The 26,432-nt window shown below is 40.1% G+C and overlaps 1 protein-coding gene across 5 annotated transcripts in view; it reads right to left on the bottom strand.

The window, feature by feature from the left end:
- Positions 1-26,432, bottom strand: part of ARHGEF28 (Rho guanine nucleotide exchange factor 28) — a 315,795-nt gene that overhangs the window by 21,392 nt on the left and 267,971 nt on the right. For 4 of the 5 annotated variants that reach the window (NM_001080479.3, NM_001177693.2, NM_001388076.1 and 1 more), the window contains 7 exons: positions 26,024-26,206; positions 22,506-22,637; positions 19,315-19,415; positions 16,339-16,377; positions 16,194-16,241; positions 10,702-11,187; positions 9,024-9,324 (listed from right to left, as the gene is read on the bottom strand). In NM_001080479.3, coding sequence (NP_001073948.2) covers positions 9,024-9,324; positions 10,702-11,187; positions 16,194-16,241; positions 16,339-16,377; positions 19,315-19,415; positions 22,506-22,637; positions 26,024-26,206 — 1,290 coding nt within the window. Of the gene's footprint in view, positions 1-8,895; positions 9,325-10,701; positions 11,188-16,193; positions 16,242-16,338; positions 16,378-19,314; positions 19,416-22,505; positions 22,638-26,023; positions 26,207-26,432 lie in introns of those variants that run through there. The other variant, NM_001388078.1, reaches the window with a different exon arrangement.

Raw genomic sequence — 26,432 nt, 5'->3', positions numbered from 1 at the left:
CAGCTTGGGCGAAAGAGTGAGACTCCGTCTCAAAAAAAAAAAAAAAAAAAAAACCTAGATGACGGGTTGATAGGTACAGCAAATTACCATGGCACATGTATACCTATGCAACAAACCTGCATGTTCTGCACACGTATCCAAGAACTTAAAGTAAAATAAAAAAAAGATGATCTCTAGAACTGAACAAAAAGTACCTATGCCAAACTGATACATATAGTACTATACATTGATAAATTTACTCCAATACTAATGAGGCAGAAGAAAAGTTTGTAATTTTTTAAGTCTACTACTAGGAATCCAGTAAGATATTAAAGGCAAACAATCTTACAGTTACCCCAACATTTTAAGAATGCTATCTAACATGCACCATATTACAAAAAGTTTAAAACAAACACTTGATCCAGTTAGCTAGCCGGAGACACTCATCTATCCTGCCTGTGATAACCACCATCACACACCCCATTTCTCTGATACCTCAACTTCTTTCAGTGCCTCAGTAAAAGAGTCAACTGTGTGGCTTCAGCTCATGGTTGCTTTCATTTCTGCTAATGAGTGTGGACCTGGACTCCTCCATTCATTTCATAAATGTTTATCAAATCTTCATCATATATCAAACACTACTTGCTGCTGGTGATAGAGCAGTTAACAAGAGAGAAATATGTAATGCTCTACCCACATGAAGCTTCCTCTCTAGTGGGACAGACATTACATAAATTATTACCCCATATAATTCAAATTATAAGTGCTAACAAGAGATGCTTTCTGGCGATGCTGAACCATGACTTTTATCAGTTTCTCCAGAACTAACAAGTACAAATTGATTCAGGATAACCAAACTCAAAAAGAGATTAAGGTGATAAACTAGAACAGAATCTTTAGACTTAAAATGACAAATAGTTTACACTAGAATATTCCTGTAGGCTGCTTTTGACATTTTCTTTCTAGTAGGAGAGCCCACTCCAGAAACCAAAGTACAATTAGAAGTCTTCCTGGGGGTATATTTGCATAATGTAACCAACAAGTGTTGGATGGTCTGTAGATAGGAAGCTTTCCATCCCAAATGGAGGTGATGTTCAGTCATGTTGTCAGAGTATCTGACATTTGGGTGTTTATATCTGGTTCTAAAAATGTGGTTGACTTACGTAACTTGTTCCAGTAGACAGAGGAACAAAAGGAAGAAGCAAAACGCTGTGCTATCAGAGCTTCATCCCCAAAACAATTCTGGTGATCCACTGACAAACACCTCCTCTGAGATTGATATGGAAAGATAGTTACCCTTTTTATTCTAATGTATTTCCAATCTGAGTGAAAAATTTCCCAATTTACAGCTAATTATTTTATATTTTAAACTATTGGCTTTCTAACAACGTTTAGGAAACACTTTCACTTTGTTGGCAGGCGACCCCTGAATCACAATCGGAATACATTATTTCCAGAATGTAGGAAGGAAGCTGATGCTCACTGGATCCCCGGGACAGGCCAGGCATTTTTTAAAATAATTATGTTAACACTTCCTTCCCATTTGTACAGATGGGGAAACTAAGACTTAGGGATCCCACGGCAGTAGGAGCCAGAGTCCAGGGTTTGAAGCAAAGTTCTCTTATATCAAGTCCAGTATCCCAGGCCAGCAATCCGGGGACATGCGTCAGGCTGGCTGCTTCAGAATCAACTAAGAAGAATGTTAGATACACAAGTTTGCAGGCTCCAGCCAAGCCCTGATTCAAATCACAATCTCTGAATAGAGGAACCTGTATTTTTTTTTGTTCACCACAGCAAACTCTGATGCATAGCCAGCTAAGGGAAGCATGATTCTAGCAACAAATTCCTATCCATGTATCTTACTTCTCATTAGCTGCACAGTCAGAGGGTGGCCCTCCTCAATACCATCACAGAATTTGGGGAGCTGGAGTTGGGGAGAAGGGTTTCTCCAAGTTTTAAGCCTCTGGCCTTAAACTCCATCTAGTATATTCAGCTATCTCTTCCTGAATTTATGTTTTCAGAGACTGAACAAAAAGCGAAAGAGAAAAGTTGTCTCTTTACAGAGACAGTAACCATCATTTCACAAAATCATTATAAAGAGCAAATGAGATCATGAATTCAAATCTGCTTTTGAATGGCATGAAATGCCATATAATATTGCACTATTAATTCACCCAAAGGTGAACATTCCAAACAAGGAGGAGTGTAATTGTCACTCCTCACTTAAGTGGAGGAAAAGAAAGTTTGGAAACCAGCCTCTGGGGTAGGCAAACTACAGCCACCTGTTTTTAGAAAGTTCACTGGAACACAGCTAAACTTATTATTTACATATTGTCTATGGCTGCTTTGCAAGCTACAATGACAGAGTTGACTAGTTGTAACAAAGATCCGATGGCTTGCAAAAACTAAAATATTTACTATAGGACCCTTTAAGGAAAAGCGTGCCACCCCCTAAGACAGATGGTCACATTCTTCTTAGGCAAACATAAATCAATGGTACTCAGCCGAACATTCCACATTTTAAGCAAACCTTAAAAACAAAATCTGCATAGCTGGATGGGGAGAAGACAGTCCCCAGATTCTGATACATGGAGAGAGTGATGCTTCCTTTCCTTTGCTGAAGCCGGATCATTACCCCATCAGTCACTGTGACTGAAGGCAGCAAGCCTCATCCTTCAGTTATGTTTGGTATACAAATTTCCCCTCCAAACCCAAGCCTTAGTCTCTTTGAGAGTAAAGCCACATCATACTAGAGAGGTCAAACATGTAGCCCATAGACCATGTGTGTGTGTGTATATGTGTGCATGTATTATTTTTTTCATTTTTAAAGCTCAGGATGGCCAGGGCCAGGCCTAACCTCTGATGCTCTCTGGAGCATTCACACCATGTGGACTCCCACACTTCAGCAGCTTGTCCAAATTAAACTGGAACCCAGGGTAGAGATGAACAGACACCCGCATGGCTGGCTGGCTGCCTCTGAATCCACCCACCTGCTGGTTTTGCTCTCCTGCTGTGTCTTAGGCTCTGTGTGCTGAGGCGGGATGGCCCTGGCCCAGTTGGCTCACATAGCCAACCTGCCCCCAGAGAAATATGCAATCAGGAAGTTGGCAGTAAGCACTCCTGGCTCACCAGGCTCTACAAGCGAATGTCATCTTTCCTTTTCCTTGTATAAAATCTGCAAAAGGCTAAAGTCAATCATCTCCACTTGTCGATGAGAAAGATGAAAATTAAGCCCTTGAGCCCAGTACTTTATATTTTTGTCATGATATAGATTACCAAGAGCAAGCAATATTATAGTTTCCTTTAAAACATAACCTAATGTGATAGTCACGATTCTAGAAGAAAGAGTTGCCAGATGATTTCCTCAGACTCCTATATATATCTCTGAATAATAATTTGATATTGTAATTAATGTCTTCAGCCCTTCAGCTTTGTTTTCATTTAATCAATCCCAAATAAAGGCACGTAATGTCCCTCCCAATCAGAGCACTCACAATTCCCAAAGCCCCTTAGTTAAGGCCTAGGCATGGAAATAAAACTATAAGTAGGAAATAAACCTATAGACTCAATATTTTCTGCTCTAGTTTCACTAAATAGGAAATGGATTCAATATTCCTGCCTTAATTTCTATGTGTTGAACTAGGCTTGATAACAGACTTCAATATCTATCAATATACAGATATAAATATTCATCACAATTTTATTATTATGTAATTATTATTTTCTTTACAAAGTTCAATTCACTTCCCTTACCAAGTCAAAAAACTAACAATGTTGTTATAGTTCAACTTTGGTATATATAAAATTCAGGCTTTTTAATATTAAATTAAGGCTTTCATGACACCTAAAACTATGGTAGGGAGAAAAATCATCATTTTGTCCCCTGTTAAGAGCTGAACTGTGTCCCCCCAAAATTCACATGTTAAGGTCCTAACCCCCAGTAGCTCAGAATGTATTTGTAGATACAGCTTTAAAGAATAAAGTTAATTGAGGTCATTATGGTGGGCCCTAATCCAATATCACTGATATAAAGAGAGATTGGGGCACAGACAGGCACAGGGGGAAGACCAGGTGAAGACGCAGGAAGAAGGTGGCCATCTCATCCGCAAGTCAAGGAGAGAGGCCTCGGAAGAAACCAACGCTGCCAACACCTTGATCCCTAATTCTAGCCTCCAGAACTGAAGAAATAAATTTCTGTTGTCTAAGCCCCCTAGCCTGTGGTACTTTGTTATGGCAGCCCTAGTCAACAAATACATTCCCCCTCTTCAAATACACTCACATCATAGAAGTTTATGGTGTCTAATACCAGTTTCAATTTCCAGGAAAATTGCCTAAAGTTCTTTGGGCAAAGCTTCTTTCCATATAGATTACACAAGTAAGGTGTCAATTTCTGAATTATGAAATATTTTAAAACATGAGAAATTATCATCCTCTCACTTCTTAAGACTTATTTAAATACTAAGTATGGCATAGGTTTTCATTTGGAAATTTTCTATTTTCTTCCCTTACATAAAAAACTTGTCAAAGTTTAACACAGCTGTCTTTTAAAAAAAAATTATCAAGATGAGGTATTCTAAATACAATGCTTTGAATTTTGAAAATAGTTTCCTTGGCACCAAATTCTAATATGTAGTAAAAGGAAAGAGAACTCAAACTTAATCAAGTTACTTTTTTCCCAGTATCTATATTATTAACATAAAATTTGGCTTGACTTACATTTTAGCCTATGCATAACAAAATCATAATGCTTTAACTGAACTGAAGAGAACTTTTGGGAAACCTGCAAATATTGAGGCATACAGAAAAATACAACTGAAAAGGGAGATTAGGATTTCAGATTTTTATACCATAAGATGTTTCCTCTGTTAATGAAAAAGGCAAATAACATATAGATGCATTCAATATATAGTTCTAAAATGTTAAAGCTAGGAGAAAAAAAGCCACAAGAATAAAATGTTGGGTTTTTTTATTGTTGTTTCTTTGTTTTTGCCTTTCAGAGTAATGCTGTTGAGCATCTCATAGGGCCGATTACATAGCAATTGTCCCACAGAGACTATTGTTTAAGGAAATTCAAATATTCTGTAGTCTTGGCTGGTGTCCCATAGAGGAGTACAGAAAAAGTTCTTAAGCCAACCATCTCTTCCACTACAAATAAAATATCAATTTGGATTTAATGTTTGAACATCCAAGAATTTTGTTCATGAAATAACTTCCAAAACTGGAAAGTAAAGTTCTTTAAAGTTCTATCTTAAAAAATATTTACAGATAACATGGGTTTATTATTAGGCAACATTGGAGAAACAAAATATTTTTAAGAAAATATCCCTTATGAGAAAAAAGTAAAGCTAAAGAGTATTTATGATACTGAAAATGTTCAGGCCCCATGCAAGAGTTGGCCACAGTAATCCAAAACATTTAGAAATATTTTCCAAATGTTACTATTAAAAAGGGAAGGAGGGGAGAAAAAAAAACCAATAAAAACAAAAACCTGGTCCTTAATCATGAACATCCCACTAGGCATTACAAAAGGATTAGATTAGTTCTATATCTAAACCAACTTCTTTAAAAAGTACAACTCATGGCTGGGCACTGTGGCTCATGCCTATAATCCCAGCACTTTGGGAGGCTGAAACAGCCAATCGCTTCAGTCCAGGAGTTCAAGACCCGCCTGGGCAATATGGGGAAACCCCGTCTCTACAAAAAAGCCAAAAATTAGCTGGGCATAGTGCAAGTCTGTAGTCCCATCTACTCAGGAGGCTGAAGTGGGAGGTTGCAGTGAGTCCAGGAGGTGGATGGAGCCCAGGAGGTGGAGGTTGCAGTGATTGAAAATCACGCCACTGAACTCCAACCTGGGCGACAGAGTGAGACTCTCAATCTCAAAAAAAGTACAGCTCAAAACAGCTTTCTAGAAATTAATAATTTAGCCCGGGTGTGGTGCCTTAAGCCTGTAATCCCAACACTTTGGGAGGCCAAGGCCAGTGGATTACTTGAGGTCAGGAGTTCGAGACCAGCCTGGACAACTTGGCGAAACTCCGTCTCTACTGAAAATACAAAAATCAGCCAGGTGTGATGGCGGGCACCTGTAATCCCAGCTACTCAGGAGGCTGAGGCAGGAGAATCACCTGAACTCGGGAGGTGGAGGTTGCAGTGAGCCAAGATATTACCACTGCACTCCAGCCTGGGCGACAAAGAGAGACTCCTTCTCAAAAAAAAAAAAAAAAAAAAAAAGCAATTCAGAATGTATAGTGTAATGATTGACAGCATGGGCTCTAAAGCCAATCTTCCCAGGTTCAATTCCCAGGTTCAATTTACTAGCTATGTGATCTGGACAAGTTACTTGACCTTTCTGTATCCCAGCTGCCCCTCTCAAAGGACAGAACCATCTCAGTGGGTTGTTGTGAGTATTAAATGAGTTTCCCCATGTAAAACCTTAGCACAGTGCCTGAAATTTGATGTGTCATATAATTACTGGTGGCAGGGGTGGGGGTAGAGCAATTCAGAAACCAATCACAATTAGAGCACAAAAATGTCTGCTGAGGCTGTACTGAAAAAACCAACAGAAATTCCTATCTAGGTGGTATCTAAACACATTGGAGAATTGTTTTTATATACAATTTTTCCCATCAGCCTTACTGTTCCAGAAATTCACATTTTCACTGATCTGAGCTGATCATCTATCCACAGTACCAGACTAGGCAAAAGGGCAAACCATTCTTTAAGATGTTACCTGGAACGGCAGACGTTATGGCCTAACAATGAAAGAGTGACTGAAGCCTGAATGAAATCATGGTTAAGTACACATTTAGCTAAAATACCAGCCCACAACATTATAGGCAAATTATGTTAGCCAGATTACAGTGAACTATGGAGATCCTCAGTAGTGGTCACTGATGGCCACTCACCCAGATTCAGCAGCAAAACACAGAAGAGGGGACAACAACACTGCCTGGTCCTTGGTTCTGGCACATCAGCTGTTACCACCCAGCACACCCTGGAGCCTGCTTCTTCCTGTCCGGCCCCCCGCAGTCACTGTCCCCCAAGATCATGTGTGGCAAGCGCCCACGGAGCCTAGCTAAGGCCATCACCAGTGGCTGATGTTGTGTTACTGTCAATGATAAAAGCTGTGAAAGCTCTGGAGGGTTTGAATAATTTTATCTAGCCTTGACCACTCTTTTAAGTGTATATATCCTATTCTCAATCCACTTTCTTATCACCGCCTATTCTCTGACTTTCTTTTCTCCCCTGTAGAAATTGCTTATCATGAAGTAAACATAAATAAGGTTTTTTGACTAGCTGCAAAACTCCAGTGGTGAACAGTACACACAGCATTTCTGATGTAATCCCTACTTATATAAACCAGGATGTTCCTGAGAGATTTAAGCCACAGTTGACTTTCTTCTCTCCTGTCAATGTCCTGAGCGTCCTTGGCCTACTCTGGACATACAATTTCTTAAGCGTAAGTACATTTCTCAGCATTTCCTTTGGCTCTAATTCCTTACATGTGGATAGACTGGTTTTGTATATAATCACTGTTTATTTCCTTAGTACATTTTCTATCTACTGCAAGTATGCTGCCAAATGGTTTAAAAAGTTTTACTTTGAAGCACAAGTCAATAGAAAAAGATGGGAGATACACAAAAAGTAAGAGACATGCTTCTTTTAAACAAAAGCTGAATGTGGTTTAACTCAAACTGAGTTTCGGAATTATACCAAAGCCAGTATGTAAAACCATGCTGACAAAACCACATGAAGCACTGTAAATAGCAGATTAATGAACCAACACAGCAAAGCAACATGTGCTTAGAAAAAGAATTCTGCAATCTGCTCTCTATTGTAGTAAAGTTGTAAGATAATATATTAAAGAAGTTACATTTTTCAAAATTTGGCTTGACCTTTTATTTAATCTGAACGATTCCATCATATTTTTTCTTTACCTAAAGAATATCTGAAATAATACTTTAAAAAACTATTTCATTCTCTCCTATATGCTGACAAGAAAGAAGAATGTTACCACGGTGACTTAAGTAATGTAAAGAATTAGCCACTATTAAGAATCAACATCTTTTGGATCAGTAATAAATCAACTTATAAGCAGTATCAGAATTATTACTCTTGAATTGGGAGAAGCCAAATACCTTCAAACCTTTTTGTTGCTGAAAAATTATCCTCCAACTGACAAACTAAGAATATATATTAAGCATAGAAACAAATCTGTATCCAGTTCTGAAGACTTCTATACTACTGCTTGTTTTATGTTTCTGAAACATTTTGCTGTGGGTGATTTATTTCACATCCATGTGGCCAGCCATTTGTTTATTCTATTGCATGCCATCTGTTTTTCGGTAGAGAGGTTTCAAGTTCTTCTCATTCCCTACCTCATATCCCCCAGAAAACAATTTATAATAGACATAGATTTAAATCATTCGGATTCATGTGGAGCTGGTAACACGAGCTGCCTTTCATTTATACTTGGCAAATGCTTTAATGGGATTAGCAAATTGTGTTATTATGAGGTACTTATGGAGAGACAACACTTTTTTTTTTTTTTACAATGACAAATGATGTTAACAGTTTCATTTTGGGTGTTTAATAGCAGTACAGAAGATTTCACTAACGTTACAGGAAATTGCCCTGATAAAGTCCCACTACCAACCCTGTTGGTATCTGTTATTATTTCTGAGTGTCAACATAGGTGTTTCAGGATGTAGTGGGGTCCACAATAGTGGGGAGTAAATATCAAGTTGCTTTACTTTTAAGAGGACATTATTATTTTAACCCACACATCTAAAAATCCTGTCTGGTTCTCACATGTTGTGAGCATTCTCTAAGCCCTATGACCATGGTCTCACTTGTCTAGGTAACTTACAAGCAAAGGCTGTCCCCAGACTTCCCCAAAGAAAAGTGAATGCCACAAACTCCAGCTCATCAGTACCGATTTATTCCCATGCTAGGGAGGACTTTGATTCACTCTACACAAGAGCCAACCATTCAGAGGGACAACTTCTTGTTCAAACTATACAGATGATGTTTAAAGTGTTAATTACCATTTTTACAAGAATCCTTGCTGCTTTCATGGAAAGGAAGTATCTGATGGCCGGAACCAGCGGCTGTCCACAGTTTGTGACTGACATTCGAAGGCTGAGAAGGGTCCACCTTGAGGTCTACTTGATGTTCACTAGTCCTCACCAAGTCAGAATGAGATTGAGTTGTAGGGTAAGTGGCATCCTGATGGATAACTGATGGATTCAGTTTGTTGAAAGTGTTAAATGACATTTGTACTAAAGCTTCATTGATGAAGAATGAGTTTTCATGACATAAACTCTCAGATCGATTAAGTTCCATTACCTGTGTAAAGAAACAGAGGAAAAGTACAATAATTTTTCTAACTTATACAAGTTTCATAAAGTATTTATTCCTGAGAGAATCTTAGGAATCAAGATTTCAGTAAAAGTGAGGTCAAGATTACCACTTCTTTTCTCCCTCCCCTCTCCCATACTCTTTTAATGAGCTAGTACCAAAAACTTCAATTTGCTATGCATGGCATATCTTTAACAACAACAACAAAAAAAGTGGCACTCTATGACATTAAAGTGTTTCCACTTTATTTTAATCAGAGAAAGCAGCAGTTTTTACTTTTGCTAAATAAAAAAGTTGAAAACATATCCATATATACATGAGGAGTTTGCAATAAACATAATTTAGCCAACTTAAAAGGAAAAACAGATTGCAACAGAGATCTTGTAAGCTTATCAACTTCTACAACTTTAGGCACTATCAGTAAAAAAACATACATGCACATAACACAGGAAAATAAATTTCTGGGACGAATAGGATTCTCAAGCATGATTAGAAAAGACACAAATAAATAACTCTTATTAGTGAAATGGATTTTGAATTTACTATATCAAATTTACAAAGAGAGAAGAAGCTCAGCATAACAGAATAGTACTATACTTGCTAAATTCAGTGCCTATAGTATATATTCATAGTTAATTGATCTTCTAAAAGCTACATCTAATAGAACTCTTAAGACAGATCATATAAAGAGAGTCCTTCAAATACTGGAAAAAGAGCACGCTCGCAGTGAGTGTGCCTCCAGGACAAACCCACCCTGGCCTTTCTAGGACAACTTGATTCTGTGTTTGTTCCTTAGGGTAAGGGCATCTCAGGCAGAGTGCAGTGATCCCATAGGACTTGGGCCCTCACATTGTCCTTTTTTTTTTTTTTTTTTTTTTTTTGAGATGGTGTTTTACTTTTGTCACCCAGGCTGGAGTGCAATGGCGTGATCTCGGCTCACTGCAACCTCCGCCTCATGGGTTCAAGTGATTCTCCTGCCTCAGCCTCCTGAGTAGCTGGGATTACAGAGGCCCGCCACCAAGCCCAGCTAATTTTTGTATTTTTAGTAGACACGGGGTTTCACCATGTTGGCCAGGCTGGTCTCGAACTCCCAACCTCAGGTGATCTTCCCGCCTCGGCCTCCCAAAGTTCTGGGATTACAGGCATGAGCCACCGCGCCTGGCCCGCACTGTCCATATTTTAAGTCAAAATGGATATGCGTTATCTCTGAAAGCTTCCAGCTTTGGCTACCTACAAATTGAAAAATCCTCATGAGGTCTTCTTACACAAATCCAAAATGACAGATGTTTGGTTAGTGTCCTAGGAGCCCCCAGGCCCACCCCTGTCTTTGAGAGGCTGCCTCACAGCACCGCAGAAGGTCCATACCTCGGGGCCACCCGGAAGGAGCACCGCGGGCAGGCTCCTCTGCCGGCCGTGCTTCCAGTGGCCCAGCAGGCTCTGCTGGGCCCGCATCCTCGCCTGCTCCCTCTCCACCAGGCGCTGGCCCTCCCTCAGCCGCTCCAGGCTGTGCTGGTACTCCTGGAGCTGGAGGTCCAGCTCGCCCCGGCTCCGCAGCAGCAGCTCCTCCTGCGACTGGCACTCCCGCTCCCGCTCCTGCAGCCAGCTCTCCCTGGTCGCCTGCGCCCGCTGCTGCTGCTCACACCTGCGCAGCCAGCGCCGCTGCTCCTGCTGGAGCTGGTGCTGAAGCTGGTGCACATTGGCCAGCTCCTCATGCTGCCTGTCCGCGTCGCGAGACTTCTGGTCCTGCAAGGGGCCGCCTCGGAGGATAGAGTGGCCGAGAGACAGGCCCTCCTGCTGCTGGAGAACCAGCCTGTGGATCTCAATGTGGCTGTCCTGAATGGTCAAGGCGGCCTGTCAGAGCAGACAGAGGAAAAATCACTGAACACAAGGTTCCATGGTTATTGTTTACCCTTTCGGTTGGAACTACCTCGAAACACAAAACGCAGGCCCGAATTCACTTCTCTTAATATTTCTGGCCTTTTTCTAAGTTACCTCCAAAGGCAAGGTTTTTGGCGTTCCAGAGAGGTGTGTCTACATCTGTCCTAGGGGTAGGACCTGTGAATTTATAGAGAAAAGAAACAAAGCCCAAAAGCAATATCATCCTCTCCTGTGGGAAGGTAGTTTGCTGCTGGTGGTTGGGTGATAGTTAAGCGAGTCTTCTGAATACGAACTCGGCACATAAATTCACAAGGCTGTGCATTCCTGTCCTACATCTCACTCTCTTGCTGAGGTCTCTCCCTAGTCAATCATTCATGAGAACTTAAGAATCCACATAAACCTAGTAGTATCCTTCCTTTGAGTCCCAAACCAGAAATTACTTGAGCTACATTGCATTATGAAGACATAAAAATAAAAAACAACTATTTGGAGACTTTAGGTAAATAATGTTTTTATAACATAATGCCTAAGAATAGCAGTTAATACCATTTTTAGGAGATATGTAAGTGGCTAAAGCTAGTCTCATTACTGTTATATCTTTGTATTATAGCAGGAAGGTCATGCACAAAAAACTAAGCTGAAATTTATTTGTTTAATAGATCGCTAACAGGAGGCTGAAATGATTAAGGGAAAATAGATACTCTAAAGCCCAGAGGACATTACCAACCAGATTAAAAAAACATTTTGAGTTACGGTATCTGCCTATGAAAAGTTTGGCAACATCACAGGAAATAATTACCAAGATTTGGAAGGATTCCACAAAACCAAAGAGATCTCTGTGAATGCCCTTGGAAGCTTTTAATTTTAAAAGTTCCCATTTAGAGTGCAAAGCAGTACAGAAGGGACAAATTGAAAATGGACACATACTGAGTATGTGTGTATGTTTTGACCCCATATGAGAAATCATTTCTCTCCTAGGGATAAATTCACATTTTTCCTTCCTAAGAATTTTTTAAACTGTCCATATAACAGATGTTGGGAAGATGGGGATTTGACCATATGTTCTTTGTCAGCTCAGCAGTTTCCTATACTTTTGAAAGTTAAAGAACTAAGGTATATTTTAAATTCATACTTGTCTTGGAATACGACTCAAAAATGTATTCACTGGGGCCTTTTGAACAAAAATTCATATTTTTAAATTTGGAAACTAATCTTTAAAATTTCAGACACATGAATATTTAGTGGCTTTTGGGAGTTGTTATAAATAAAACAATGATTATCATCCAGAATAGGTATTAATTACTATGATCTTTAAATATGAAATAATTAGCACACAATAAGCCACTCAGGACTCTGTTGATCTGGCTAAAGAAAATTGTAGACTATACATCACCACTTAATTCTAATAAATCTTTAGGGACCAGTATGGTAAGACAAACAAAAATCCCATACTTTATATGTCAAAACTACCACAGACAATAACTCTCACGTAAGAGTTACAGCTACAGTAATTAAGTGCTTCTGTGAGGTATTCTTCATGTCTATCTAACATTTGGGATAAGGCCATTCTTTTCCCTTGCATAGAGCTGGAATCTGAAGATCGGATATTCATCTAAATTTAAATATTCATTTAAAGCTAAATGAATAATCTTCACACTTAAAGTTTACATTTATATTTAGGACAGAGAACAGCACTTGCTTTTCAAGTTTAGGGAAATTCCCAATTCACTCTCTTAACTTTACTTTGCTAGAATATCTGTGTCTTTTCCTTTTAGCCCTGTCTATGCCTCATTTCTAACTCTATTTTCCTGATATAGGGATCAAATTTCATTCCACCTGATTCAAAATTGTTTATGTAAAAACTTCAGTCACATATAAGACATTCAGCTTCAAAAAAGACGACTGTGCCATGAACAGAAATCTTTCAAAGCCCATGGCCTTGGACCAGCTCAGATTAAAATAATTCACTGTAGACTTTGATATTTCCCATGTTGGTTTAACCTAATGTGTTGCAAAAATTAGGTCATTCAGGTGATCCAGCTTTTCCGAACCTTGAATCTACACAGGGCTGCATTCAGGGTTGAAAAGAAGACACATGACCTTGTGAGTGTTTTCATCCGGCAACACTAGCCAGGATGCTCAATGTTTTCATCCCCCAAGTTAATGGCTGGTGCTCAAACTGTATCCCTTCCCAGCTGACATTTAAAAGAAAGATTAGTTGTCTTACATGATACATTGATTGCTAAGAACATCAACTCCAGAACCTCACATCTAACCTAAGACACTAAAAGCATTCTCACTAAATCTTGAACAAGACAAAGAGCTTGCTATTACCACTGTGATTTAACACATTTTCAAAAGTCCTAGCCTAAGCAGTAAGCCAAGAAAATGAAATTCATGTAATTATTGACAAATAGCCATAATATCATTATTTTCTAATTTTTATTTTCTACCTGGAATACTTCAAAATATCAATGGAAAAACTATTAAAATGAAAAATAAAGTTCAATGAGTTTACCAGTTACAATATAAGTACCCCAAAATCAATACCTTTATTTATATTAGCAACAACCACTGGGGACACAAAATGAAAAAAAAAATTATTCACAATAGCAGCAAAGAGACATATGAATAAACTTAGTGAAAAAAATACATATACACGCATATCATACCATATGAAGACAATTACAAAGCTCTCCAGCAAATCATAGAATAAGAGATGACTGACCGATGTTCTTTTATAAGACAAGTAAGTGATTATGGTAAAGGTGTTGATTCTCTCCAATTTATTTCAAAAATATAATGAAATTTTAACTTAATGATGTTGGCAAGAGATAAGAAACTTGTTTAAGAGCTCTTGTGGGGCTGGGTGCAGTGACTCATGCCTGTAATCCCAGAACTTTGGGAGGCCAAGGCAGGTAGATCACTTTGAGCCCAGGAGTTAGACTGCAGCCTGGGCAACATGGTGAAATAGAAAAACTAGCCAGGCTTGGTGGCACACGCCTATAGTCTCAGCTCCTTGGGAGGCTGAGGTGGCAGAATGGCTTCAGCCTGGGAGACAGAGGTTGCAGTGAGTTGAGATCGTGCCACTGCACTCCAGCCTGGGTAACAGAGCCAGACCCTGTCTCAAAAAAATAAATAAATAAAAAAATAAAAGCTCTTGTGGAAGGATATATAAATATGCATAGAAAAATAAATAAGATGAGCACTGTCATATACTCAAATGTAATCCAAGGCTTTAACAATTCAGATGTTGGTCCTAGAGCAAGAATAAAAGGTCATAAGAGAAAGAAGTCTTGATAGAGTCGAAGTCTAAATAACAAAACATCGAATGCAGCATGCCTTTATATTTTCTGCTGAAAACTTAGGCTTCATTTTATTTTCTTTTAAATTCAACAAGATATGAAGCATGAATGAATAATAAACCAGTGAGGGAAAAATGTTTTGTCTCAGTAGTAATCAAAGAAGTACAAATAAAATAATCAGATACCCTAATCCATCTTCAAATGGAAGAAAAAGAGAGAATGGTGGTTGATTTGATTATTTTGGCAAAGTCTATTGAAAACCTAAACAAAATAATTCTTCTCATTTACCCTAAGGAAATAGTCAGATGTATTCAAAGAGATGAGTACACAAGGATGTCCTCTACAGTGTTGTTAATAATACAAAAGTGTAAACAATAAGGGATTGAATAAACCCCACAGAGTTGAATTTAATATATAATCATTAAAAAGTATGCAATAGAATAATAGTTGATGACAGAGAAAGTTACATGTTACAGAAGAGTGCACAGAGAACAATTCTAAAATCTGGAGCCTTATACACCAACATGATAATTTTAATTCTCTTTGTAGAATCAGAAATCATTTTCTTTCATTTACTTGTATTCTCAAATTTTTCTACAAATTTTTCAACAATCCAAACATTGCATGTATATCCTTTCGAGATACATTTTAATGAGTAAATTAAGCCATCGGACACACTGAGCCTCTTTCTTTGCATGGTCTAAGGTAGTGGTCTCCAACCTTTTTGACATCAGGGACCTGTTTTGTGGAAGACAGTTTTTTTTTTTTTTTTAATGGATGGGCTGGGATGTGGTGAGAATGGTTTCAGGATGAAAGCGTACCACCTCAGATCATCAAGCATTAGATTCTCATAAGGAGGGGGCAACCTAGATCCCTAGATTGCATGCACAGTTCACAATAGGGTTCACGCTCCTATAAGAATCTAATGCTGCCACTGATCTCACAGGAGGCGGAGTTCAGGTGGTACTGCTCGCTTGCCCCCAGCTCACCTCCTGCTGTGCAGCCCAGACAGGTAACACTCTGCACCCTGGGGTTTGGGGACCCCAGCCTAAGGGATCATCCAACCATTTAATCCTAAATGCAAGCATGATTTCTTTTTTATGTCTGCTCTTCCTTGAAAGGCAGTAAGCTATTTGAGAGCAGGCTGTGTGGCTAATTTGCCTTTGTGTGCTCAGCCCTCAGCACAGTCAGCACAGAGACAGGCACTGTGTGTTCATCCCCTCAACATTAATAAATTAATAAATGTTGAGTGGATGAACAAACAAAAGAGTAAAGCAACATATGGATTACTTAACTGCTCTAAAGGCTGATGGCCACATGGAGAAGTCAAAGAATTTTAGGTGTGAATTTAGGTTTTCATCAGAAAATGTGAAGTCATGCTACACTCACCTAAGAGTTTCATTGTAAATGTCAAGCCAGATCATATTCATCAATATTTTTTAAAGATATGAACTGTTTTATGATTTCAGAGAAGAATGGTATAAAATGTAGTCATGGTGTTGCCTCTGATTACAAAACCATGTGAGTCCAACACATCACACTTAGAAGGTTGTCATTCTTTTAAGATCATTCCCTACCTCTCACTTGTTCTCATTTTTAAAGTCTGGGAATCATCAAAGAGAATTGCATTAAGAGAACCATTCACAAGGTCAAAGATTAGAGGAGGATAGTTACCTGAAGGCTGTATAAGAGACGGGTTAAATTCTGTATGGCTTGTATAATCTGAAAAACAAAATTGTAAGTGTCAAATTCTTGAAAAAGCTTTCATTATCCACAAATAAAGGCTGGTGATACATTTAAGGTATGTGCAGCAGCTCACCTCTGATTGTGAAGAACCTGGAAAATTTCTACATTCCACCTAAAATACATAAAAAACAAGAAAATGAATAACCATTCTACTTCTGAAAAGCTGCCCTGCAGTGTCCCAAAATGTATGACCTTGGGTAAATCACTTTGCTATCTCTAAACTTGATTACCTTATCTATACTGACTCAGTTTCCTCCCAGAAATAAAAGCCTATAGAATCAAACAAACACTTGACAACAAGAGCGTCCTTCACGCAAAGTCGATGTTTGAGATGGATGGCAATTTTCACCCAATCACCCCTTAAAACAACAAGGGATGACAGTAAGGACACCCTGAAAACTCAAGTAACAACATTTACCTTGTGCAAACCACAATGTGAATTGAGTTCTCTGTGCCCAGACTGAAGTTGTCTTTTGGGTCAGGCTGACCTCTTATATTCTAGAGGACAGATTGAAAGTTAAAGAAAGAATATCATGTCTGGCCTTAACTCCTTTTCTCAATGTTTGAGATTCACGATATCAACATATACAGCAGTTGGGAAAAGAAACCAGACTCAGACGGTGGCCATAGTGGCGCGCGTAGCTGGGCTGCTCTAGATCCCACCACAGTCAGAGATCACCAGACCAGTGACTGCCATAGTAGAAGTACTAGCAGCAGAGGCCACGAACCAGCCACAGGAGACCGTCTGTTCTTTAGGGAGAGGGTCTATGCCTTGTTCTTTGTCTCTTCCACAGCACACATTAAGGGCACACGTGGATAGTGATGGTTTGCAGCCTCCATAATTGAACACTTGTTTATTCATTTATTGTCGGCCTTCTCTCCCTAGGATGCAAACCAGTGAGTAGCGAGACTTTGTCCATGTGCTCCATATTATAAGAATGATGCTTGACATAGCACGGACACTCAACAAGTGAATGACTCCCAGTTGAACTCGATGGCACGCCATTCAATAAATAAATATCGATCACCCACTGTAAACTTCACACCTTACGCTATGGGAGACCATCAGATGCCCTGTCCTCAAGGGCCTACTGTCTCATCTAATTTTAAGCCATAAAAAGCAGCCAGCCATGGTCATGTCCTCGGGTAATTTTGAACTTGTTAAATTCAATTAGTTTAGGCTGATGATGCCAGGATGAGCTAGCCAGACCTCCGCTTCCCTTGGACTGCCAATTAAAGATTTCACTCGTAAGCAGCCCCTCTGATAGAGAAAAGACAGAGGCTGAAAATGGAGATGAAGCTTAAAGACATTAGATCTGTGCCAAACCCTATGGGAGAGAACAGGCTCTAAGAACCCCCGCCCTAGAGGGATGGTTGGCGTTCTCGCTGCTCTTCTGGCTCTGTCGTGGCCCATCCACACTCCACTGCTTCTGTAGTAAGACCATATGGCACAGAGTTTTTATAGTCTATAAAAATTAGAACCATAGAAATGAGTTGGACTGTGCTACCCGCGGTTACTTATGCCCAAAAGCCACTAGGTTTGACACAAGACAGGAAATTTCGCGTTTTTAATGGAGTTGTTCTGCCACCTTGTGGTAAATGTTTAAAACTGCAGTTGGCGATTTATCCATTATTTCTGCATTTGAGTCAGATTTCATTTTTTAATATTCTTTCAGAAATTTGTTCTAACCTTACCTTGTAGAGGAAGCTAATGACAAAATATCCATTATACACCTTTTAAAAGTTTGATTTCAAGTGATCCTGCCCTTTACCTGGGTTTATTAATGTATTAATCTTTCAAAATGCCTTATTAAGCAAAAAATTTTGCAGATAGCTTAATCCAAAGAAGAACCCAGACACTTAACCTCAATTATCTACCTGTAGCTGAATTGGAGTGGAAGAGGGAGACTTTAGGGGTAGGAGCCACCCAACTTTGCGTTCAAGATTAAATTATTACTGTCCAATTCACTCTCTCTTTTCTATTAACACAGTTGGACACCACAAACTTCACACTTAAAAGTGATGAAAAGCAGGAACATTTTAAGAAGCAATACATTAGAAAGCTTACAATCAGAAGGAGTAAAATATTACATTCCTATGCTCATTTTGGCCTCTGAAGTTTAAAAAAGAACACTCAGTCACAGCTGTCTTTTCTCTGGATTTTAAAAGTCCTTGACTTGATTTCTCAGTCTTATGTAATATACACAAAAAGTATATAATATGTAAAATATGTTGTATATGTGAGAAGATCTGACATTTGCCATTTTTTCACATTGACACATATTGGCACCTATTAATGTACCTAATTCAATTTTAGATAAAGCTAAACTCTGGAGCCCTGACAAGCAGGAAGAGGCCAACTAGCCACCTCCCAGAATCATATTTTATTCCTTCCCTATTTCTGACATCTCACTTTCAGTAGACATTAATAGGAAGTTTTATGTATTTAATTCTTAAAGAGAGAGTTAATATCTATGTCTATAGCAGTAAGTCAAAAAAGAGGATTCCCTTTGGGAATCGCTGTGCCCCAAGCAAAAACTGGTCAGATTAATTAAAAATTAACCACAAAAAAAGTAGGTGAAATGTGGGTGGTGACAGGAAATCAACTCTGCAAGGAGAGGAGGGTCAAGGAAGGTGAAAGAAGCAAGAATATTCCAAAGTAAAAGGTGTTTCAATTACTTTGGCGCCATCTGGTTGCAAAAGGGCCCCCGGGTGCCAGAGCTGCCAGACATAGTGGGTGAGAAGCAAAGGTTTGCAGGGCAGAAAGACCAGAAGTCAGAGAGCACAGACACACATATACACAGGAGAGTTTTTAATCTTTTTAATAACTTTTCAATCGTTGCTTTGTTTACACCTACATGACACAGGCAGTGCAAGCACATTTGAAGAAGAAATAAGTTAGAAAGTTTAAATATGAATATTTAAATCAATTGAGAACAATTCAGAAAAGCACCTTTGCCCCACTGACTGCCGTGACAGACCAGAACCTGAGGCTATTTTATTATACACAGTAACCGCTGCCGTTTACTAACAAATCAGTTCACAATACCTTCTCCCCTGCATCAGAGACGGCCAAGTCGGTTACCACACCCTGGATCCCGGGATCCACATCCGAACAGCCTCTTCCTTCTCTCCCTCCTGTGACTAATGCTGGAAGCACGCCATCGAGACAGAAACAAAAAGGACAGCGTCAAACATCGGCCAGCCCACCGGGTTCTTCTGTACACGGCCAACACATATTTCAAAATAGGAAACACCACAAAATAATACATATTGAGTATTCTTAGATGAGGTGCTTGGATGAGCGCAGAGCAATGCATGTGGTCCCTGCCCACATGGGGCTTACACGCTAACAGACAGCAACTGACGAACCGCACAAAGTATCACCATCTTTGTACTTTTCTTTCTTGCACTGAAGTGTTCGTGTGTCGTTTGTGTTACAGAGGGTAGAATCTACATCTCACTCTCACTTAATAGGAAAATGCCTCCTGGGAAGGGTGAAATTTAAAACAGGTGCTGTAGAACAAAAGCAAGGTCTCTTGGCAGACTTAAGTCTGTAAAAAGTCTCTCTTGTGGCCAGTGCAAGAGCAGCAGACGATAAACAAGGTTTAGGAGGAAGGAGGAGTCCGAAGCAGGAGGGAGACATCTTTCTAGGAAGGCGGAGATGGCTAATACTTCACGGTCTCATAGTCATACAAACCAAGAACCTGTCCCTATCTCTGAATAACTTATTTTTTAACAATTTCTAAATGTGTTGTTTTTCTCACATTTCTTGTTATGCTTTAGATTTACAAATACTATGTATTTAAACTATGAAAACATAGAAACTAGTCCCGAAATATTTTTAAGTACCAAATACAGATTTCACTTCATCCATTAAATCTCTGTTGGCAGGATTTTATTTCTTTACCCATGTGAACTCAGTTAAAACTTAAACTGTGCCCACCTTGCACTGATTAAAACTAGAATTTTCAAAGCCCAAAACAGTGTTTTATTAGAACCATGTCCAATCCAGACCCTGACAAAATCGATATTCACTTTATGACACTGTTTGTTTGTATAATTTTTATTGTGTCTTTTTAAAACTTTATTTCCAATATAGGAAATGCTTTTTTCTTTAATAAAAATACTTATGTCTTTGGAAAATGAGAGTCCTCTAGGATTTCAAAGACCTCTTCTAATACAAAGAAGTTTTTGTCTAAACGGAAACGGCTTCAGATGAGATCAGCTAAAAACAAGTCCATTTTGTTCAAGCTGATCAGCACTTATTCACTTACAATGAGGGACATTTTATAGGTTTCTCTGTCATTTGAAAAATGGTTCTACTATTGGGTGCTATTCCTAACTCTTAAAGAGTGGCCAAAGGCATCACTAAAGAATTCACCACTCTGTTTCTCACTCCCTCATAGAAATTAGGAAAATCAAATGGGAAAGAAGCTGATGACAAGGCAGAAGAATAAAACACAGATCAGGTCCCTGTCCCTGTATCCAATTTCAGGGTGGGCCAGAGGGTCTCCAGTGAACAGAACTTTCCTAGAAGTAGAAGATACTCATCATGTATACTGAAGACTGAAAATAGAGCTGTCTGCTTGGCTTATAACCTCAGGCTGACATAAGCCTGATGAAGAAGAGCCCAGTTCTCCAAGTCATTTGCAGAACCGACCCATTCAGTCACAGTTGTAGACCTTCATTTAGAACTAGCCTTGTGCCTTGAACAACTTTATAAAGAGAATCAAACTCTCATAGCACCATGTTCCAGTCTGACCCAGAACTGAAGAGGCCTTGGGGTACAGGACCCCACCAGCCAGCTTCGGTACTTCCTCTACCTGAATCCCGACATCAGACCCCTCTAAAGAGCCTCTCAATGGTTCTGGCAAATGCCACGGGTGTCCCTTTGAAACTCTCCCCAGTCATGAGAGATGTGGATACAGACAAGGAGACCTTCACTGCCTGGCCTGAAGGGAGGGAAGGCACGACCGCGGGCTCGGGCAGCTGCAGAGGGGAGCCTCTCCAGCTGTCCCTGGGGCGAGGCTGAGAGCAGCAGATCCCTCAGCAGATCCCTGCACGTATTTTTAGACAGAGACTCCTCAATGGCATAATGAGGTTCTTCTTTTAAAAGGAAATCACCCAGGGCAGTACAACTCCCCTGATGAATCTGGGCTGTGTCAAAATGAAAAACATACGTGCGCATTCTGAAACTAGAAACTCAGGATTAGATAAAGCAGAACTTGAGAGAGGAAGATAATTAGTGGTGCTGATGTTTAAAAAAGAAAAAAAAAAGAAGTATAGAATTAAAAAGCTATACTGCATCTATATATCTTAATTAATCAAGGGATGTTGTTAAAGAAGTTCTGAGTTCAATTTAATCTTCCAATCTTGAGTTCAATTTAATCTTCTGATCTCTAACTACTGAAGACATTTTATCCATTTTATCTTACGCACATAAGACCTTGTGGAAGTAAGGTTGTTACCACCTGCACAGGATGAAAAGTATACTCTTTATGCTCTTATCTTAGAAACCTTTATGGAACTAAGTAGCCTACAACTATACATATAACAGGATAGCTAGGTTCGGGGAAATTACCTAAACCAAATCTCTACATTCTATTTTTTTTTATATTTAAAATGTTTTGAAACAATGTTTTCATAAATGAATTCTGACATGAACTAAAGTGTAGGATGGCACAGATCAAGAATTTTCTGGCACTTCTGCTTTAACCATACCACCAAACTTCGTGTGTGTGAGAGAGAGAGAAAGAGAGAGGGAGAGAGAAAGGAGGGAGACGGAGGGAGCCGTGTGTATATTTCTGGTTTTCTGAGTTGTTTTCTCAGTTGATGCACATGAGATTAGGTTTAAGGGCTTGTTCTGTAATTGACCGCAGGGACTCCTTTTTTAAAAAACCTGAAAAGTTAAAAAGTTCTTTCAAAACTGTAATGAATAAATCATATCAAAAATGAGGCAGGGTAGGGGTTGGGGAAGGTCCGATATTTGGCCGGCAAACAGAGCAGTATAACCCACCAACTACTCTTTAGATCCTCATACTTGAAACCCCAGTGTCATTATTATATGCCTATGATATTCATTTAGGCTAGCATATTTATTCTCAGTTTTTTTCTAATTTAAAAAAATATATCAAGTCCCCTTCAACCAGAGACAGTCATTGCCTTTACTTTACGTGACCACTGTAAGCTCCAGGGACTGTGCTCAGGCTCATTGCCAAGGCCTGCATTTTCACTTACAGGCAGTCGGTGATCCTGGTACATCATGAGAACTGAGTGTGTCCGCCAAGACAGAGTCTCCACAACTGTCCTCACATGATTGACTCACGGCGCCCATCTGTGAGGCCTTCACTGCAACTTGTAGGCTCTCAGCTAAGATGGAGAAAAACAAAAATAAATCTAAAAAACAAAGATAGGTATATATTTAATCTAGACCAGGAATTGGCAAATCGCATTTGGCCTGTCCCTGTTTTTATAGGACCCAGGGGCTAAAAATGATTTTTACATTTTTAAAGGTTGTCAAAACATGGGCATGTGCCTACGCACGCGCGCACACCACACACACACACCCCAGAGACTGTGTGATTTACAAAACCCAAAATACTTAGTATCTGGCCCTTTATAGGAAAAGTTTGCAGATCTTCAATCTAGACCAATACTTTTAGCATCATTTTACGACAGAGAATTAACTCAATAGAAAACTATAAACCATTATATTAAAATATCTCAAATGCAACTTTCAGTAAACTGGTATGCCTAAAAACTTCCTGTCATTCAGTTAGTATAAATATACCAGGCATTAAAATTTTAAAACCTGTTGCCCAGAAATATTAGCTATTCCTCAAAAGAGTATTTCCCTACACTTATCTTTAGAAATACAGATTCCCAGTCTTTGGCTCCAGACTTACTGGATTTGATTCTCTGGAGGAGAAAACAGGATCTGTATTTTAAATAAGCACCTGTTCTAGGGGATATTGGGCATTTGACAACTAAGAGGGGAGTTTACAGATTGGAGGAGGAAAGAGACATACACAACCCACTAGACCATACAGAAGCATGTGATCAGCACTCATCTCCATCAGCATTATTAGAGCATTATAAATGCTACTGCAGCATGGAGGAGGAAGAGCATTCTATTATCTATTAGGATTCGGAATATGTTTTTACAGGAGGTGAAAACTGAGCAGGACCTGGAAGGATGGATGGGTTTCAAGAGGAAGAGACAGAAGAAAAGAAAGGAAGGAGGAAAAGCTGTCCAGCAGAGTGAAGTCCCAGGAAGACGATTCAAGGTGCACTACTGAACTGGCTTTTTGTCGGAAGATAACTCCCTCACTCTGATAAGAACTCCTGCTCCATCTTTCGGCTGCAAATGGGGCTGGATGGTCAGTGACCCAGGGTGGATTATCCAACTGCGGCTCACGCAGCACCTCCATTGCTCTGGGTTCTAAGCAGCTGGGTCCGCCGCTGCCCCGGCACCTCTGTCACGGTGTGCCAGGGGAATGGAAGCAGATGGGCGTACAACCCAGCGTTAGTGAAAGTTTTGGTGGGGGAGAAAGTTAAAGCCACTGGCTGATACTGAGAGTGGGCGATTTATTTCATCAAGCCTTTATCAAAGACAATGAGGGAGGTCACTGCTTCTTGTCAACCCACTTGGAAGTTTCTTCTTGACTTTATTTCTAAAATATATCTTGCCTCGGCCTCTTCTCTCTGCTCCCATTGTCAATGGCACTGGTCTAGACCAAGGCTCATCTTAACTTCTGTGATCACATCCTAACAGGTCTCCAGGCAGATTTGTCTCCTAATCTCTTGTCCATTCAGCAGCCAGTGTTTTAAGACATAAATAAGATCATGCCACACCCATGATTAAAAGCTTCCAGTGCTTTCCATCATATTTGGAATAACATCCTCTTCTAAAATTATTTAAACACAGCCTACAATGATCTGATCCCAGTCTGCCTGGCCCACACCACCTCATCTAACGGTGACCCCCGCTGACATCTGCTACTCTGGCCTCCCTTCTTTCCTTAAACACGTGAAGCTCACTGCAGCCTCAGGGGCTTTGCACTTCCTTCTCTCTGCCCAAGATGATCCTCCCCAAGCTTTTGAGACAGCTGGCTTCTCATTTCTCAATCCTCATCTCAAAAAGAGGTCTTTAGGCTAATCTCTCTGAAGTAAAGCCTTCATCTTACCACAATCCCATTATCTTTGGGATAGATAACTATCCAAAGTTCTCTTTTTTCCGTAAGTATTGTCTGTCTTTCCTCACTAAAAGTTTTACAAAAGCATTACTGCCTCCCTAGCACCAGCAACAGTACAAGATAGATGCTCAATGGATATCTGATAAACAGATGGATGAGGGGTTCTATCAGTGAACCCTACTTCAGACCTCTATGCCCTTCTCAAGACCTCAGTTTCCTCAACTGGGAAATAAAGATGGCTGATTCTAAGATTTCTAAATTCTCTTCCAGAGCTAATATTCTGAAATTCTAAACCAGAGGCTGGCAAACATTTTCTGCAAAGAGCCAGTTAATAGTTTAGGTTTTGTGGACTAAACAGTCTGTCAAAACTGCTCATCTCTGCCACTGTAGGAAAAAGTAGCCAGAGGCAACACATAAACAAGCAGATGTGGCTAAGTTCCGGTAAAACTAAACTTACGAAAGCAGGTTGTGGGATGTGTGTAGTCCGTGGTCTGTAATTTACCAGCCCTTCTTCTGTACAACAGCATTTCCTGCTACTCTCTCAGGAGGTGGCTGGTTTATCTCCCAAGCCCTTTGTCCCACTGTCACTTCAGACCATTATCTCCATCTCTCCCTTCAACTCCTTTCTGCCTTGAAGCCGCTGCCCTCAGGTTACAACCACTCACTACCGCTCATTGTTGCCTTTCCTCTATAGACCTTCAGCCACTCGTTTGCCTTCCCTGAATGAGTTAGCACACAGCACAAGTTCTCCCCCTCCCACTAGCGCTAATCCTGTCAAAATTCTCAGTATTTTCAATTCTATAAACTTAGTCCTTCCACCACCCTGGCCTCTCATCCTCTGGACTTTCTCATCTCCAATGACCTTGCCCTTCACCCAACCTCGGCCACCATCTCCCATTGTTATTACCAACATCTGCACTTCACCCTCTTAAGTCTATTCTCCACACAGCAGTCAGGAGGTACCTTTCAAACCACAAGTCAAGTCCCTCCTCCACTCAAAATTCTCTAATGCTTCCCATCCCACTCAGGATGAAATTCCAAGTCCTTCTCTCCCGCCATGCAACCTGAGACCTAGTGAACCCTGGACTCATCGCCTGCACTGCTCACCCCACCCTCCCTTCCCTCAGCCTGTGCTGTCCCCCTGCCTGCTCCTCAGGCGAGCCTGGCACTTCCATGCACCAGGACCTTTGTGCCGGCCATTCCCTACGCCTGGAAGACTCTCCCTCAAGATACCACTTAGCTTTCTTCCTTCATGTCCACTTACATATCATTATATCAAAGAGGCCTTCCCTGGCCACCCTATCTAAAACAGAGCGATCCCAACTCCATCACCCTCTCTCTCCCTTATCCTGCTTATTTTTCTTCATAGCACTTGATACAACCTGACATATTTCTTTCTTTATATTTGGCTATTTCTAGAAATATAAGTTCCAGCCGAGTAAGGACCTTGTCTTGTTCTGCTGTATCCTCAGCACCAAGACCACAGTGCATGGCACTTAGCAGGTGTTCAATAAACATTTTCTGAACGTGTCGACCCAAACCCTTCTCACAGCAGTTTACCTTCTTTCAGTGCTGCTGCCAGTAATGAGGCTGCCTGGGGAGGCTCGCCTGGGTCAGGTTTAATAAGGAGGTGGGGCTCTAGATGGACGTCCTCAAATCCGCTCAGTTCTCCAAGTTCAGCATAGATATGCAGCTTCTCCTCCAAATACGCACAAATTTGTTGGTCTTGGTTAGTGAGTATTTCTATGAAATAGTATTTACCATAGAAGATTATCACTAACATGAATACAACCACTAATGTGAAAGTCCACGAAAAAGATGTTGCTAATTAGCAAGCAGTAAGACCTCCAAGAGAAAACCCAGGTTGATGAGTGGGGCAGATGCAGGTCTCAGTCCTGACCATGCCACTTAGTGACTGTGGCCTCCAGCAAGTGACTTAACAACTTTCTCAGCTTCCATTGTCTTTTCT

The sequence above is a fragment of the Homo sapiens genome, chromosome 5 (genome assembly GCF_000001405.40).
Source record: "Homo sapiens chromosome 5, GRCh38.p14 Primary Assembly".
NCBI lineage: Eukaryota > Metazoa > Chordata > Mammalia > Primates > Hominidae > Homo > Homo sapiens.
The sequence above is the reverse complement of the archived record's forward strand: the minus strand, read 5'-3'. Positions and strand labels throughout refer to the sequence as shown.